This window comes from Homo sapiens, chromosome 6, assembly GCF_000001405.40.
Source record: "Homo sapiens chromosome 6, GRCh38.p14 Primary Assembly".
Classification (NCBI taxonomy): Eukaryota; Metazoa; Chordata; class Mammalia; order Primates; family Hominidae; genus Homo; species Homo sapiens.
In genome coordinates, this window is record NC_000006.12 from 159,888,577 (window position 1) to 159,904,974 (window position 16,398).

At 46.8% G+C, this 16,398-nt stretch overlaps 1 protein-coding gene across 3 annotated transcripts in view; it reads left to right on the forward strand.

The window, feature by feature from the left end:
* Nucleotides 1–210: 210 nt before the first annotated feature.
* MAS1 (MAS1 proto-oncogene, G protein-coupled receptor) overlaps nt 211–16,398 on the forward strand; it is a 28,661-nt gene continuing 12,473 nt past the window's right edge. The window contains exons 1-3 of one of the 3 annotated variants that reach the window (XM_047418776.1): nt 211–694; nt 1,055–1,128; nt 10,610–10,816. The gene's annotated coding sequence lies outside the window, so the exon portion shown is untranslated. Of the gene's footprint in view, nt 695–1,054; nt 1,129–2,411; nt 2,608–10,609; nt 10,817–16,398 lie in introns of those variants that run through there. The other 2 variants (NM_002377.4, NM_001366704.2) reach the window with 2 other exon arrangements.

The following is a 16,398-nucleotide window of genomic DNA, read 5'->3' on the forward strand; positions in this document are numbered from 1 at the left end:
GGTAAATAAGCTTCCTTCTTCCCTGCTCCCATAAGGCCCTCCACCAGGCCCCCTTCATTATGGTTCTCTGTTGTTTGATGGCAGAAAGAGGGATGTTGTTTCTCTAGGGAACTTTGGAAGGTGTGACTTGGAGGTGGATGCTAGAACTTCCGCCGGAAATTGGAGCTCCAGACCCTCCTCTTCCCCAGGTTCAGTTGCTTTGTTACCCGCTCTTGCTACACCTCCTTCCCCTCAAACTCTGCCCACCTCTGAAGGGGAGAATGATTACTCACAAAGACAAACCAAGCACAGAAATAGCCAACCTATTTGTGGCTTAAATGCAAGCAGTTTTATTTTTACAGTGAGTTGCTGTATTTTCTCTAAGGATAAATCATTATCTACCAAAAATGCGACTCCAGCTCCATCTGTGATAGTTCCTGCTTTGTTAGTGGTGCCAATTAGTCACAAAACAACTGGGGCCTTCCGCCACCCACTCAAGCTGGGGGCAAAGAGAGCCACCTCTTTCTGACTCTCCCGGCCGGCCACCAACCCCTTTGGAGACTCTCTCCCTACCTAGAAGCCATCGGGCCACCCTGGCTTCCTGGCGGCTTGCTCTTCATTCACCTTGGGACCATTATCAATTTCCAAATTGGGCAGCTTGTTGTCCTCTGCCCGTGTGGACAGACTTCTGTTAGGCACTGGAAAAAGCAAATTGGTGAGGACCTCTGTTCTGTTGACTTACATAATGACGTTGGAGTCCTCCTTCTAGTTGGTCACTCTGCGCAGGGTTTCACAGCACCCATGGGGACAGGGTGAAATGTTCATAACATCTGGGCAGCCCCTGATCTGAGAAGCAGCGAATGTGGAGCAGAGAGGATCCCTCTGTCGTATCCCATCTCCTTCATCCCTCATTTCCTTCGGGATCAATTCCTCCCCTGCTGGGATTGGAAGCTTCCTGGGCAGCCTCTTATTTTTCCCTAATCATGTTTTCTTCCGTGGGTCTGATCCTTTCCCACCCGTGCTCCTTCTTTTCTGCCTTGCAGTCTGCTTTAGATGGTGCCTGTTTCCTTTTTAGTTTCTGACCATCCTCTGGGAAACTAAAGTTCTTCAGGAGGCTGAACTTCTCCTTCCTTGGAGCATCAGAACCAGGTAATGAGAACACCTTTCCAACTTCAAGACCGAGTTCACCTGGTCTGTTGATTTGCTGCTCAGCACTGCCTACCCAGTAGATGCCTGCTGGCTTCAGGGGAAGCTCTCTTCTCTCCCCTTTCTTCTTCCCACTGGGAGGGCCGAGCTGCTGGTCAGGCTTCCCACAAGAGTAGTTTGGCTCTGCCCTGGGACTATGGTCTTCCTGCTTACGAAAACAGTCGGAGGGGAACTTCATCTGTGGGTTCCTATGTCTGCTTTCCCACAGAGTCTGAAACTGCCTTCTTACCCCTTTTGATATAGTTGGTCCCCGAGGTTCTTAATACTTTGGCACAATATCTATGAAGGAATCCCTTTAAACAAGAGAAAATGCTACCCTGAGTGAGGGGTGGGTCTTCAGGCTTGGGATCTCAGACTTGGCTACCTGAGATCCAAGAGATCCAGAATTCTCAGCCTTTGGGGCTTCACATTGAGTTATTTGAAAAATGGGTAACATATTGGCCATTTTTGGTTTTTAAAAGGTAGAAAAACAAAAAACCTAACCAAACAACAACAACAACAAAAACACAAAAAATGCAGAACAGGGATCGGGGAAAAGGAATTTGCTCTCATGTTCCTGACTGCACGGGTGAGAGTTGGCATCTAACAGAAACAGCTACTCCCAGGAGGAGCCCCCGGACCAGGCTGGGACGCAGTCTGGGCATGGCCAATGGTGCAGACCCCTGCCTTCACCCCTGAACACACTCCTTGGCTTGCTTGCTTTTCATAGCATCCTACGGGTCTTATATACTACACTGAGCATGATACTCTCCGAAACTGGGTTGGAGAAGGGAACAAATCCTTAACTATCTAGCCATGTGTCTCCCGTATGTCTCTCTGGGTCTATACATAGACTCATCTCATCATTACTAGGTTTTGAGTTAATATTATTAGCTCCATTTTACAGATGAGAAAACCAAGTCTTAGAGAGCTTGGCAGAGGTCACATAACTTATTAGAAACTGAGCTGGGAATTTGAGATGGTTCTGTCTTTCTACTACACATGCGGTTTTGCCCTTCCATGTGGCATTTCTCCACGTCATCTTTCTCTTTAGCCCTGGCTGGCCTTAGTGGTTCAAGGTGATCCACTGCCTTGCATTATCACCAGCTCACACCCCGCTCTGGATTGGCGTGAAGATTTTCACTTGAGTGTGTCACTGAATGATGCCATTGGAAGCTTCTGCTGATAAGCGTGGGACCATCTGCTTGGCACATCTCAAATATTTTCAGCAGTGGGAGAGCAGCTCTGATTCCTTCAGAGATGAGAGGCTGCAGCCATCCTTCGAGATGTTGGGACCGGAGACCCTGCAGGCTGGCTGGGCATTGATGCCCCAGATGTGAAGGGGCAGCCAACCTGTTGGCCACGTCTGACCCTTCCTGAGCAAATGACACCAGTGAGTCTGCGTCCCAGTTTTTCATTGCTTAGCTGTCCTTGACAACCAGAGTAAGATTTTCTCTCTTTAAAAAGCTATTTCTTGGATAACTCTTTTCTGTGCTGGTTTTTCTTTCTTTTATTTTTTTCGGTGTGTTAGATGTTTGCCGTTGGTGTGTGTTGGCAAAAACTTCTCTTTCCTCCTGCCTTTGTTTTGGAAAATTTACTTCTTTGCTGAGTTAACTGTTCCCAGACATTGTTTTTCAACTTCAGGGTTGAAACTTCGCAGTAGCGTTTTCTTTTTTAACTCGTTGCAGGGGAAAGAATCTTAGGATCAATTCACAGTTTGAATGGTGGACTTGGAGGTTTTCAAGGCTGCTTAATGAAAGCTTATGAATGATAAAGAAGTTGAGGTTTGAAAGAGTTGTTACTGAATTTGATTCCTCTGGAGAAATCACTTGGCTATCAGCTCTTTGGCATCACAGGGGCAAGCTGTATTGATTTTTCTTCATTTTTCCTTAGTGGGCACTGGCATCAGTATTAGCTTCTGTTGCTTATGAAGCCGTATGCATTCCTTTGGTGACAAGATGTCTGTTAAAAGGAATCTCCTGCCCAGTCTTGATCTTTGGTATGAGCGTCTTAGCAACACTTCCCAGCCAGGATACTTAGGAGTAATTTGGTGAGAGAATGTATAGTGTGTTGTTAGATTGCTATGGGTGCAGCAGTAAAAAGGTGGTAAGAAGCTGGCCTCTAGCAGAGTGCCACGGCCTCGGCACTACTGGCATTTTGGGCTGGGTAATTCTTTGCCGTGTGGGCTGTCTTGTATATTATAGGATGTTTAGCAGCATCTCTGGCCTCTACCAACTAGATACCAGTAGCACACTCCTCTCCATTGTGACAACCAAAAATATCTTCAGGCATGCCAAACATCCCTTAGGGGACAAAATCACCTTCCCCCCTTTTAGACCAGGGCTCTAAATTGATCCTGTGGTATGTTTGGAAAGGGAGCAAGAAGTCTCTGCTTCTGCGTACAGATGGCCCTAGTGTGGGGAAGACGGGAATGATGCATTTAATACCAGGACAGATGGTCCTGCCCTGTACATTCCCATCGGAGCCCTTGCCTGCCATGGAAATTCCATCTCACAAATGGGTTTCTGTTTGTCCAGGTGACTGCACACACACACAGGGAAGAATTTGCCCTTTTCTCTGGATCTGCACACCTAGAAATCCAGCCTAGGGTCAGGCTGTCTTTTAAGTTGCCTGGGAACAACAGGCGCTTTCAGATGGCCCACTCCCCCAGCCTGAGTTTTATTGGCTTTTCTCTCTTTCCTTTTTTCTCCCTGCCTTTCTCCCCAGCCCCCTCTTTCTTTCTTCTAAGAGTGATGTCCTAGGCTGGGTATCTGGGGCCATGGAAGGACTGTGCTCAACTGAATGGGAATGTGGAAGGGGTTGTTTGCTTCTGAGGTCTCTAGAGAACACTTGAGCAGCATAAATGTATGGCATTTAGAACTCTCTGCTGACTCTGAGTCTCCTTGTTTTTTCTATCAGCTCCACCACCCATCTGTTCCTCTCACTTTCATTGAGAGGTAATTGCAGCCAGCAATCTCAGGTGGACCTGGCAGGACACAGGCTCTGCAAAGCCCACATCCTTACACATCAATGGAAACCACCATGCTTGTTTTCCCTGCTTGTTGATTCATTATCTCAGTTTGGCATTTCCATGAGACTCATATTGGCAAAGTGCTGTTCAATCTCTAGCATTTCTTATACCCCAGCCTTTCAAACTACATTAAAATGCCAGCATGTGAAGCAGTTGAGACCCAGTGGGGTTAATCTGCTTGATGGAGGACTTGCCTCTCATGGTCAGTTTGACTGAAAGTGCAGCTCCCAGGCCAAGCAGCCGTAGGCACAAGCAGAATAGGCTGTGGCCTCTGCACTGTACTTTGATCAATGTCAAAACCCCTCTTCTCAAAAGTCTCTTCTGCATTCAGATGCGATACTGCCCACAATTCTTTGAGTTTTGCAGGAAGGTGGTGGGTGTTAAGTCCTACTTTCCACCATGGTCACCCTGGCTTATGGTGTCTTGTGTGAGGTGCTGGAGCCTGAATAGGCAAGGATCATCCCCATGGGGGCAGCCACGCCGGGGTGAGGGCAGTGGCAGTGGTGACATGGCAGGGGATGTCAGTGCTGGGCAGGGCAGGATATCTGCATGGGGGGTACAGGGAACTGGTGCTGGGTGTTGGAGCTCCTGCAGTGTGAGGTCTGTGTCTCAGGGTAGGGGGCAGGGGGAGCACTGGTCCAACAGGAAGTAAAAGGGCCCAACAAAGTGAGGAGGGCATCTGTGCAGGGGCAGGGGAAGAGCAGTGGCAGACATAGGCAACCATTCATAGGTGGGTTGATCAAATGAGTAAATGCATAGAGGGCCAAGGGAGCCAGGTTTCTCAGAGAAGGGAGTTACAAATATGGAGAGGGAGAAAACTCAAATGAATTCACTGGTGGTGGGTCAAAACTGGAGATATTGGTGTCAATTTATGATTATATGTATATATTTTATAAAGATATAAAAAGACATAGAAATACAGCCATAGGTGTGTGTATGTATGACTATACATAAATGTTATCTATGTACATATATTCCTTAGCCCTGCCACTGAGAGGGGCTGGGAGCAGCGACAGCCTCCATGCAATGAGCACATTTTACACCCAGATCTTGGCTTCTAAATATAATTATTTACTGAAAGGAACCAGGGCTCCTTGGAGAAATGGCTGATTCTAGGCACTAGGGCAGGGGACATACAAGATTATGGTAAAGTGTCCAGTTTTTTGTGTTGGAAGGCTATTAGGCATATTGGAGGAAGTGTGGACCAGCGGGGAAGGTTGGATTGCTGTTTTGGCCCACTGAGACTGCTCTGCCACCTGATGAGGCTCAGTTGGAGATACCCAGGACATTTGGGTATATGGGTCTGACATGCTGGGGAGATGTGTGAGCTAAAGCTGTGCATTTGGATTTCATCAGAAAATGGTGATGGTTGAAATGGTGGGATTGAACAAGACCACCCAAGGAGAGTCTGTGGAGTAGGAAGGGAAGAGGGTCGAGAACGGAGCCTGCAGACTGGCCAACACGGCAAAACTCCGTTTCTACTAAAAATACCAAAAAATTAGTCAGATGTGGTGGCGGGTGCCTGTAGTCCCAGCTACTTGGGAGGCTGAGGCAGGAGAATCACTTGAACCCGGGAGGCGGAGGCTGAATTGAGTGGAGATGGCACCACTGCACTCCAGCCTGGGCGACAGAGTGAGACCCTGTCTCAAAAAAAAAAAAAAAAAAAAAGAATGGAGCCTGGTGGAACTCCAAGGTGCAAAGGGCAGTGTAAGAAGAGATCCAGCGAAGGAGAAAGAAGAAGAACTGCAGGAAAGCAGGAGGAGAGCCAGAGGGAAGAAATATGCTAGGCTCTGGCATCATCTCGGAGACAAGAGGCGAGGAGACGTGAAGTGGGGTTCCATAGCAACATTCATGCATTGGGGAGGGGCTCGAGCCCCAGATCTTGTCTCACCTGCTTCTAGAGGACTTGGCTGAGAGCGCTGCGCTGTTGAATGCACTGGCTCCTTTCTCTTATTTGTTCTGATGAAAGGACATGCCTGAATTGCCCCCTCTGACATCAATTATCTTTACCCATAATGGTGAAGCATGGTGTCCTTCATCAATAGATGTGTTTATTGATAATAGTGATAGCTAGGAGCCACTCTGTTTCACAGAAGAAAGTGAAAACAGAGACAATATTTCTGAAAACAACTCATTCCTGTGTGTTTGTGTTGTTTTGGTTATGGGTTTGGTATTGGGTAGGTGGTGCTTTAATAAATAAAAATCCATTCTTTGATAAATAAGATCCATCCTTTGATAAATTAAAAACTCCATCTTTTAAGGATCTTAATTACTAACAACCCAGTTGATTGTGCGGTTGCTTCTGGCGACATAAAAGCCGTTAATAAATGTTCCAAAAGTCCTGACAGCCCCATGAATGGGTGTGTGAACTTCACACATAGACGGACTGTTGACAATGAGCTGGTGTGTGTGTATGTTGGGTGGGGCAGGGGAGGGCTAGAAATAGTGCCAATTTGGACCTGGGGCAATCCAGGCTCTGCTGCTGCCTTTGTTACTAAGTATGTAACCTTGGACTAGTCCTGAGTTAATTTCCTCACCTGGAAAAACAAGGGGGTGGTTTGCAGTATCTGCATGATTTTTTCAAGCTCTAAGTCTTAATGATCAGCACAGGATGGTCTGACTTTACCAATAAGAAAGTGTTTTTAAGAAAACTCCAAGCCGCATCCTTTCATGTCTTTTATAAAATACTCCAGTTGCTGGGGAAAAATATAACATATACATATGTTGTAACGTATAACATATAACAAATTGCCATATTTACAAATGTTTCTTGCAGTTCAATAAAAGAAATGGACATAGAGTATGAAAAAACAATCCATCAAAAAATACAAGTAACCGTTAACATAAAAGAATGTCCAACCTCATTAGGAATCAAATAAATGCAAATTAAAACAAGGTATCTTTTATCATCTATCAAATTTGGGAATTTAAGAAACTGAAGATGTTGTAGAAAAAGAAACATATATATGCTGTGAAAAAAACTTTATATACTGTTGATGTTGGTATTAATATAATTGGCATGGTTATTTTGGATGACAGTTTGTTAATACACATTTAAATCTTGAAGAACGTTTATACCCTTTGGTCTAGCAATTCCACTTTTAGAAATATGTCCTAGGGGAATAATTAGAGATGTGCACAAAATTTGCATCCATATGAATTCATTACGGTGCTTTGTTTTTAAAAATAGCGGTGAAAAATCAGCAGCAAATGGATATGTCCAAGGCTAGGGGATTATTAAAAATGAATAATGAAAGCTGGGCACAGAGGCTCACGCCTGTAATCCCAGCACTGCGGGAGGCCAAGACAGGAGAATCAGTTGAGTCCAAGAGTTTGAGACCATCCTGGGCAACATGGGAAAACCCTGTCTCTACAAAAAATACAAAAACTCAGCTGGCATGGTGGCAAGTGCTCTAGTCCCAGCTACCTGGGAGGCTCACTTAAGCCCAGGAGATAGAGGCTGCAGTGAGCTGTGATCTCACTGCTGCACTCCAGCCTGGTTGACAGGGTGAGACCCTGTCTCAAAATTATAAATATATAAATAAATAAACAAATAAATCATGAGACCTTCAGTTAGTGATACTGAAGTCATACTTTTAGAGTATATACTGACATGAGTAAATGTTTACAATATGATACTGAGTAAAAAAAGGTAGAAAGAAAGGATACCAAAAGATTATAAAATGCAATCTCAATTTTAAAAACGAGCGTGTGTAAGACATTGAACAAAGACCAATGGAATATCCTAAATGTTGAATCTGGTTAATTTTTAATAGTAGTTGTATGTGTGGATTTTCTGAATTTTCTTCAATGAGCACATACTGCTTTAAAATTAGAAGAAAGGCGATAAACATTTAAAAGAAAATATCCCCATTTTGTGTTAAGATTAAAGAGGCTATAAAATGAGCCCTGCTGGGACTGTAACTGCCTAAAGGGTTCTCTTTGCCTGCTGCCCAGACAGAGCCGATTTATCAAGACGGGGGAATTGCAATAGAGAAAGAGTTTAATTCATACAGAGCCAGCTAAACTAGAGACCAGAGTTTTACCACTCAAATCAGTCTCCCTGAAAATCCAGAGACTGGGTTTTTTTGTTTGTTTGTTTGTTTGTTTGTTTGTTTTTGAGACGGAGTCTTGATCTGTCACCCCGGCTGGAGTGCAGTGGCTCGTTCTTGGCTCACTGCAAGCTCCGCCTCTCGGGTTCACGCCATTCTCCTGCCTCAGCCTCCCAAGCAGCTGGGACTACAGGCGTCCGCCACCACGCCCGGCTAATTTTTCTGTATTTCTAGTAGAGACGGGGTTTCACCATGTTAGCCAGGATGGTCTCGATCTCCTGACCTTGTGATCCGCCCGCCTCGGCCTCCCAAAGTGCTGGGATTACAGGCCTGAGCCACCACCCCCGGCCGGAGACTGGGGTTTTTTTTAAGGATAATTTGGTGTGTAGGGCACCAGGGAATGTGGAGTGCTGATTGGTCAGGTTGGAGGATGAAGTCACAGGAAGTTCAAGCAGTTTGTTTTTGCGGTCTTCTGTTTCTGGGTGGGATCACAGAACCGGTTGAGGCAGATTATCTGTCTGAGTGGCACCAGCTGGTGCATCAGAATGCAGGGTCTGAAAAATGTCTTGAGCACAAATAACAGATTTTACAACAGTGATGTTATCCCTAGGAGTAATGGGGAGGTAGAGAATCTTGTGGCCTCTGGCTGCATGACTCCTAAACCATAATTTTGAATCTTGTGCCTAACTTGTTAGTCTTACAAAGGCATTCTGGTACCCAGGCAAGAAGTGGGTTTGTTTTGGGAAAGGGCTGTTATTGTCTTTGTTTCAAAGTTAAACTATAAACTAAGTTTCTCCCAAAGTTAGTTCAGGCTATGATCAGGAATGAACAGGGGCAGCTTAGAGTTTAGAAGCAAGATGGAATCAGTTAGGTGAGATCTCACACTGTCATAATTTTCTCACTGTTATAATTTTTGCAAAGGTGGTTTCAGGGTAATCATTTTTTTGATGGCAGAGCTCTTTGAACAGGCAGGTGTGGTTTGATCAGTCCCTGCGGACTGCTTCACAGTGGACTACTTCACATGCAGAGACCACATAGTGGCAAAGTCACAACTAGAAATTAAACAAGTCTTTTTTTTTTCTTTTTTGAGATGGAGTCTCACTCTGTTGGCCAGGCTAGAGTGCAGTGGCGCGATCTTGGCTCACTGCATCCTCTGTCTCCGGGGTTCAAGTGGTTCTCCTGCCTCTGCTTCCGAGTATCTGGGATTACAAGTACATGCCACCACGCCCGGATAATTTTTGTATTTTTAGTAGAGACAGCGTTTTACCATGTTGGCCAGGCTGGTCTTGAACTCCTGACCTCAGGTAATTTGCCTGCCTCAGTCTCCCAAAGTGCTGGGATTACAAGTGTGAGCCACTCCACCCAGCCTAAACACGTCTTAATAAAAAATATTCCCTACAATATGGTGACTTTAATTCCTTAAATAGGAAAGGTTAGAGGCAGACTAGATTCAAAAACTTAAGTATAGAGAGGCTGTAAACAGTAAAGTCTTAAAAATAGGATTAGGCCCCAGAGTGTAATGGAGAGAGCTCCGGGCTAAGATCAGGCACGCTGGGCCACAGGGCTTCTCAAACTGGTTGTGAAGGTTGGCCTGCCTCACAGGCTCTCCAACAACCACTCACTGTCCTGTAAAGTTGAGGGGTTTGGTAGAACAGTGATTTCCAGACTCCTCCTCCTCCTCCTCCTCCTCCTCCTCCTTCTTCCTCCTCCTCCCTCCTCCTCCCTCCTCCTGCCTCTTCCTCCTCCTACCTCCTCTTCCTTTTCCCTGTTCCTCCTTCCTCTTCCTCCTCCTTCCTCCTCCTCCCTCTTCTTCCTCCTCCCTCTTCCTCCTCCTCCCTCCTCCTTCCTCTTCCTCCTCCTCCCTCTTCCTCCTCCTTCATCCTCCTCCCTCTTCCTCCTCCTCCCTCTTCCTCCTCCTCCTCGTTCCTTCTCCTTCTCCCTGCTTCTCCTTCCCCTTCTCCCTTCTTCTCCTTCTCCTCCCTTCTCCCTTCTTCTTCTTTCTTCTTACTGTCTCAGCTCATGGTCAGAAGTCAAGTGACCTGGATTTCTGCCTGGCCAGCACTGTGATTAAGATCCACATAAGTTTCTGGGCACTACAGCCCTGCAGGACCCAGGGAGCACCAGACACACTGGAGCAAAGGCAGTTGGTAGGCCCTTGGGCTGTGCAAAACGGTGGCTCTGAGCCTGGCATGTTTTTTAATCCTTAGGTTTTTCCCTCTAAAAAGGGGGCAATGATGTCATCCTTATCAGCCTCCCAAGCTGATTTCAAGGCTCCAAAGCTAGGATGGAAGGAAAGGTGCTTTGGCCCCAAGAGCCCCACACTGCGATATTCTCACAGTCTAACTTATTTCTTTCTCCCTAGACATCTCTTTCGTGAGAAGAAAGAGAGGAGGGAAGATGCTCTGTGATGCTGCCAGTAATGCTGACCAGTCGTGGTGCTGTCACCTCCTTGGCTGTCTTTGCAATCTGTTCCCAACTGAGGTTTCCATTGCAGTGTAACTGACCACTCCAGGGGCCACTGAGGGCTGTCAGGATGAGCTATCCCTCCACCCCAGGCTGTCACTGCCAGGTAAACATGCATCCCTGCAAATGCAAGTGCTGTGTAAGAAAAATGATTGGTGGCCGGGTGTGGTGGCTGATGCCTGTAATCCCAGAACTTTGGGAGGCTGAGGCAGGAGGATGGCTTGAGCCCAGGAGTTTGAGACCAGCCTAGGCAACATGGTGAGACCCCATCTCTGTAAGAAATAAACAACAACGACAACAAAAATTAGCTGTCATGGTCGTGAGTGCCTGTAGTCCCAGCTACTCAGGAGGCTGAGGTGGGAGGATCACTTGAGCCCAGGAAGTCAAGGCTGCAGTGAGCTATGACTGCACCACTGCACTCCAGTTTGGGCAACAGAGCAAGACACTGTTTCAAAACAAAACAAAACAAAAGATAATGAGGCCGGGCGCGGTAGCTCATGCCTGTAATCCCAGCACTTTGGGAGGCCTAGGCGGGTGGATCACGAGGTCAGGAGTTCATGACCAGTCTGGCCAAGATGGTGAAACCCCGTCTCTACTAAAAATACAAAAATTAGCTGGGTCTGGTGGCAGGTGCCTGTATTCTCATCTACTCGGGAGGCTGAGGCAGGAGAATCGCTTGAACTCGGGTGGGAGAGGTTGCAGTGAGACGAGATCGCGACACTGCAGTCCAGCCTGGGCGATAGAATGAGACTCCATGTCAAAAAATAATAATAATAAAAATGAAAAATGTTTGGCATGTCTGGGCAGAGAGCCTCTGGTCCTAGAATTGAGTTGACCCAGAGAGAAGTTACCCTACTGATTCACCCTGCAGTGCAAGTGCCTACCTCGTCTGCATGGCTTTCTGAGATCTCAACTGTGTGGTCTTCTCTCTGCTGTTGGGGAAGGCTCACTGAGCCAACACTAAATTATTCTGAGCTAGACTGTTTTGTCAGCTAGCAGCAATTACCCTTCTACTCTCCTCACACTTCCCAACCTCAAATATCCCCGTCAGTCATCCACCGACAGAGTTGAAGAATCCACAAAATGACCAAGGAGCTGGGGGAGGAAAGGGCTAGGGTGACGAGCACGTAGGGCCGGCTGTTGTCAAGGCATTTCTCGCCATCTGCTATTTCACTTCAGAGACCGAAACTCAGTTGGTTGGGTAAGACTGGGAATGTGATTTTTAGCAATGTGTTTGTTTAAATAGAACCCCGCTATAAAAACAATTTGGAGGATTATGATTCGTTTTTGAATGAGAACTAGTTTTAATGGAATTTTTTATGTGCATTCCAATCATGACTAAAATCCGCATCATGATCAAAGTCTGCCTGAGTACTGTATGTGCTTCATGAGTTGTGCTCTAACCATTAGAAACCCATGTTTATTCAGTGTGATGCCCTGCACTGAAAGTGGTGGTTTTCTCTCGTGGGGAAGCAGAGTGTATTCTTAGAACTGTTATAATGGGCTTTATTTCTTGAAACAGTTTGATAAGTATTTATTAAATGCCTACTGTGTGCAAGTGTTGGAGATTCAGATGCAAAAAGGATAAGGTCCTGGTTTCAAGGAGTTTGCTGTTTAGTGGGTGTATTAGGCTGCTCTGACTGCCATAACAAAATACTATGGACTGGGTGACTTACACAACAGAAATTTATTTTCTGACAGTTCTGGAGGCCAGAAGTCCAAGATCGAGGCACCGTCAGGGCTGGTCTGGTGAGGGCTTTCCTCCTGGTTTGCAGAAGGCTGCCTTCTCCCTCTGTCCGTACATGGCTTTTCCTCTGTGCCCTCACAGAGAGAGATCTCTTATGTCTCTTCCCCTTCTTACAAGGACACCACTTCTATTGGATTAGGGCCCCACTCTTAGGACCTTATTTAGCCATAATTACCTCCCTACAAGGCCCTATCACCGAATAGAGTCACATTGAGGATTAGGACTTCAACATATGAATTTTGGAAAGGAACACAATTCCGTCCACAACAGTCAATAAGATAGAATTTTAACTCTGAGGCCAGGCACAGTGGCTCTCACCTGTAATCCCAGCACTTTGGGAGGCCGAAGCAGGGGGATTGCTTGAGGTCAGGAGTTTGAGACCAGCCTGGCAACACTACAAAAAATTAAAAACAAAATTAGCCAGGTGTGATGGTGCATGCCTGTTGTCCTAGCTGTTCAGGAGGCTGAGAGGGGAGGATTGCTTGGGCCTAGGCATTTGAAGCTGCAGTGAGCTATGATTGCACCATTGTACTCTAGCCTGGTCAACAGAGTGAGACTATCTCTAAACTTTTTTTTTAATTAAAAAATTTTAACTCTGCTCTGTTACAAGGAGAAATGTCTTGGGTATGAACATAGCAAGATCCCATCTCTACAAAAATAAAAATAAAACACAAGCCAGGTGTGGTAGCATGCACCTGTAGTCCCAGTGATTTGGGAGACTGAGGCAGGAGTGTCACCTGAGCCCAGGAGTTCAACCTGCAATTAGTTACGACCACACAGCTGCACTCTAGCCTGGGCAACAGAGCAAGACCCTATCTCTAAAAAAAAAAAAAAAATTAATGAAAGAAGATGCAATTTGAAACACCTTTCTCAGATGAATTTTGTGAATTTATTTGGAAACTTTTGGGGAAAAGAAGAAAAGTTGAATACAGAAATAGAAACTGGTATTGTGAAAGGAAAGGGTAGGACAGGCCGCTTGGGAGAATGGGTCAGTAGTAAAAATAGAGCATGCCTTGAATCTAGGATGAGCAAGCAGGGTGACAGAGAAGGGGAGGTGACCTGGGGTAACTGAGAGCTCTCTCCACACAGCAAGAAGTTGCAGCTGAAGGATGTGGTCCATGAGAGATCCCAGGGCATGGACCAGAGGCAGAAAGAGGATCTTGTCAGTAACCTCAAAAACTCGGATTAGGTCCTGAATTTACATCTCTGGTCTTTGGTTTAGGTTTGTAATTAAAAGATGAAAGCACTTGGCTTCCTTGCATAAGCGACTTTGGTTTTGCCATGGCTGTCTACCTGTGTTGGCCAACATGGCAGCCCCGAGTCACATGAGGCTCCTGAGCATAGGGAACCAGGCTCATCTGAAGCGAGATGCACTGCAAGAGTGAAGTACCCGCTGCATCTGGGGGACTTAATGCATGCAAAAGAACATGAAATACCTCATCCATATTTTTGGTATTGATGACGTGTTGAAATAATATTTTAAACACATTAGGCTAAATAAAGTATGTTATTAAAATGGATTTTGCTGGTTTCTTTTTACTTTCTTTAACATGGCTATTAGAACTTCACTTGCACAGGTGGCCCACGTTGTGTTTCTGTTGGACGGCGCTGGTCCAGGCCCTTGTCACCCCTACCTTTTGTGTACTTTGAATTTTCTTCCCTCTCTCCTCTCTCTCCAACACCAGCAGCAGCAGGAGCAACAAAACACCAGTCTCTGAAGTGCGTGCCGGCCACTGTATCGCCTCCCACCCTCCTTGCTGTGGTTGGTTCGGACCCCTGGGCTGCTGTCCCAAATTCCTTGACGATTTCAGCACCTGGATTACAGCCACGTTTTCCAACAATATTCCTGGTCTCCAACACTATTTCTCAGCGATTTCAGCATCTGTGGATAATTCTTCCAGCCCTGTGGCTCCAGGTTCTGCTCTCAGCTCAAATGATCTTATCCTCCACTCTCCCTCAGCCCTTCTTTTCCACAGTCACACTCTGCACTTAATACTGATAACCCCAAAACTACACTGCCCCAGGCTCAGTTTTAAGCGTCACGTTCTCCAGCCCCCACCTCCTCCTTCCCCTTCAGTGCCTTTAGTACGGGGACTTCAATGATTCCCTGACACCGCTGGGACCTCCGATATGTAGCTCCTATTTCCTGCTCACATCTGTTACCTCCCTCATGCCCTCATTTTTCTCCTAACCCCACTGGGCTCCAGAGTCCATCATCGTAGCCCTTCCCTTCTATGTGCTTTGCTTCCTTTGACCCCCACTCTGTGTCGTACCCGCCTGGTAAACCCCAGCCCTGGTTAAATCCACCTCTCCTCTTTCTCCATGTCGGCACCTGGACAGCTGAACTAAGCCGTAGAGAAGCACAGGTGAGGCTGAGTAGTCTCTCCCAGGTTCCCGAGCACTAAGCTGGGCGGGCTGTAGGTTAGCCTGGCTGGAGATCCTGCACTTTGTGTATGTCCCTAGCCCTCTCTTTCCCTCATGTATTTCACATCGTGCCCTCTCTCCTTAAACCCTGAACATCTCCTCACTCTTAGCTGATGACCTTGCTCCTTACTTTACTGTAAAAGAGATACTGCACTTTCAGAAGACAGCTTCTCGCCTTGGGCACTCCCACAACCACATCTACCCACCTCACCGGATCTGCAGCCACACACCCTGCCTTCCCCTTCACCAGGTATAAATTATGCTGTGGCAAGGCTGTGACTCCTCCCAGCTCTAGACCCCTACTTCCTGACTCCTCAGTTATTTGCTTTCTATCCATGTATAATTCTTATCCATGTATCACTTCTCAACCCCACAGCCCCCAAGAGGGTTGTCTACACTCACTGTCTTCACCTGTTCTCCTCCCATTCTGTCTAAACCACTTGCATCAGGCATTCATTTTGTCCAGTCTACTGAAAATACTCCTACCAAGGTCAGCAATGGCTCCACTCCCATGGTCAATATCAAGTTCCGGGTCTCAGCCCACTTGAACTTGCAGTAGAATTTAGCCCAGTTGATTCCACTTTCTTCCCCTTGAACTCGTTCTTACTTGGCCTCCTGGGAGCCCTTCTTCCCCAGTTGTCCTCCTGCCTCTCTGTCAGGTCATCCTCAGTTTCCTCTCCTTCTTCCTCCTCATCTCCCCAGCCTCTAACTTTGAAATGCCTCAAGGCCCAGTCCTTGAATGTCTTCTCCTTTTTAATGGCCCGTATTTCACAGATACTCTCATCTTGCCTCACAGATACCCTCGTCTTGCCTCACGGCCTCAAATTCCACCTGTTTGCATACAACACCCACATTTATATACCCAAGCTACAACTTTCCTCCGGCTCCTGACACTCCCCTGGACATGGCCTGGCTGCCTCACAGGCTTCTCGAACTCCACAGGCCCTGCTAACCCGCTTCACCTGCACCTGTCCATTCAGCAAATGGCTAAACACGTATTCTCTCTTTCTACCACAACACGTATCTCTTCCGTCAGTGAATCAAATCGAAGACCTCCCACCAGATAGTACTACCTCTGCCACAACCTGATTTATGCTAACATCCTCCCTGTGTCTAGGCCAGTGCCTTCACCTCCCACCTGACCTCCTCCTTCCTGCCATGGCCCCTAGAGTGTCACCTGAACACAGGGGCCATACCGAGGCTGTTCACGCCTCAGTCCCCCAAGTTAACCACATTCCTCCTCTCAGAACCTCCTGTGGTTTATTATCTCACTGGGGGTAAAAGCACCAGCCCACAAAGCCCGTTTGGACCTGGTCGCCAAAGACCCCTGCCTTCAGCACCTGACTGTTCTCCTTGCCGGGCCGTTCCTGCCTTGCTGGCCTTTCTGCGGTTCTTCACTCCTGGCTGCCTCCTGCTTCTGGAACTTCGAACTTGCTGTTTCTTTTGCCTGGAATACTTTTCCCCCAAGAACCTGCTGGCCTCGGTCGCCTATTTCCTTCATGTCTTTGCCCAAGTGT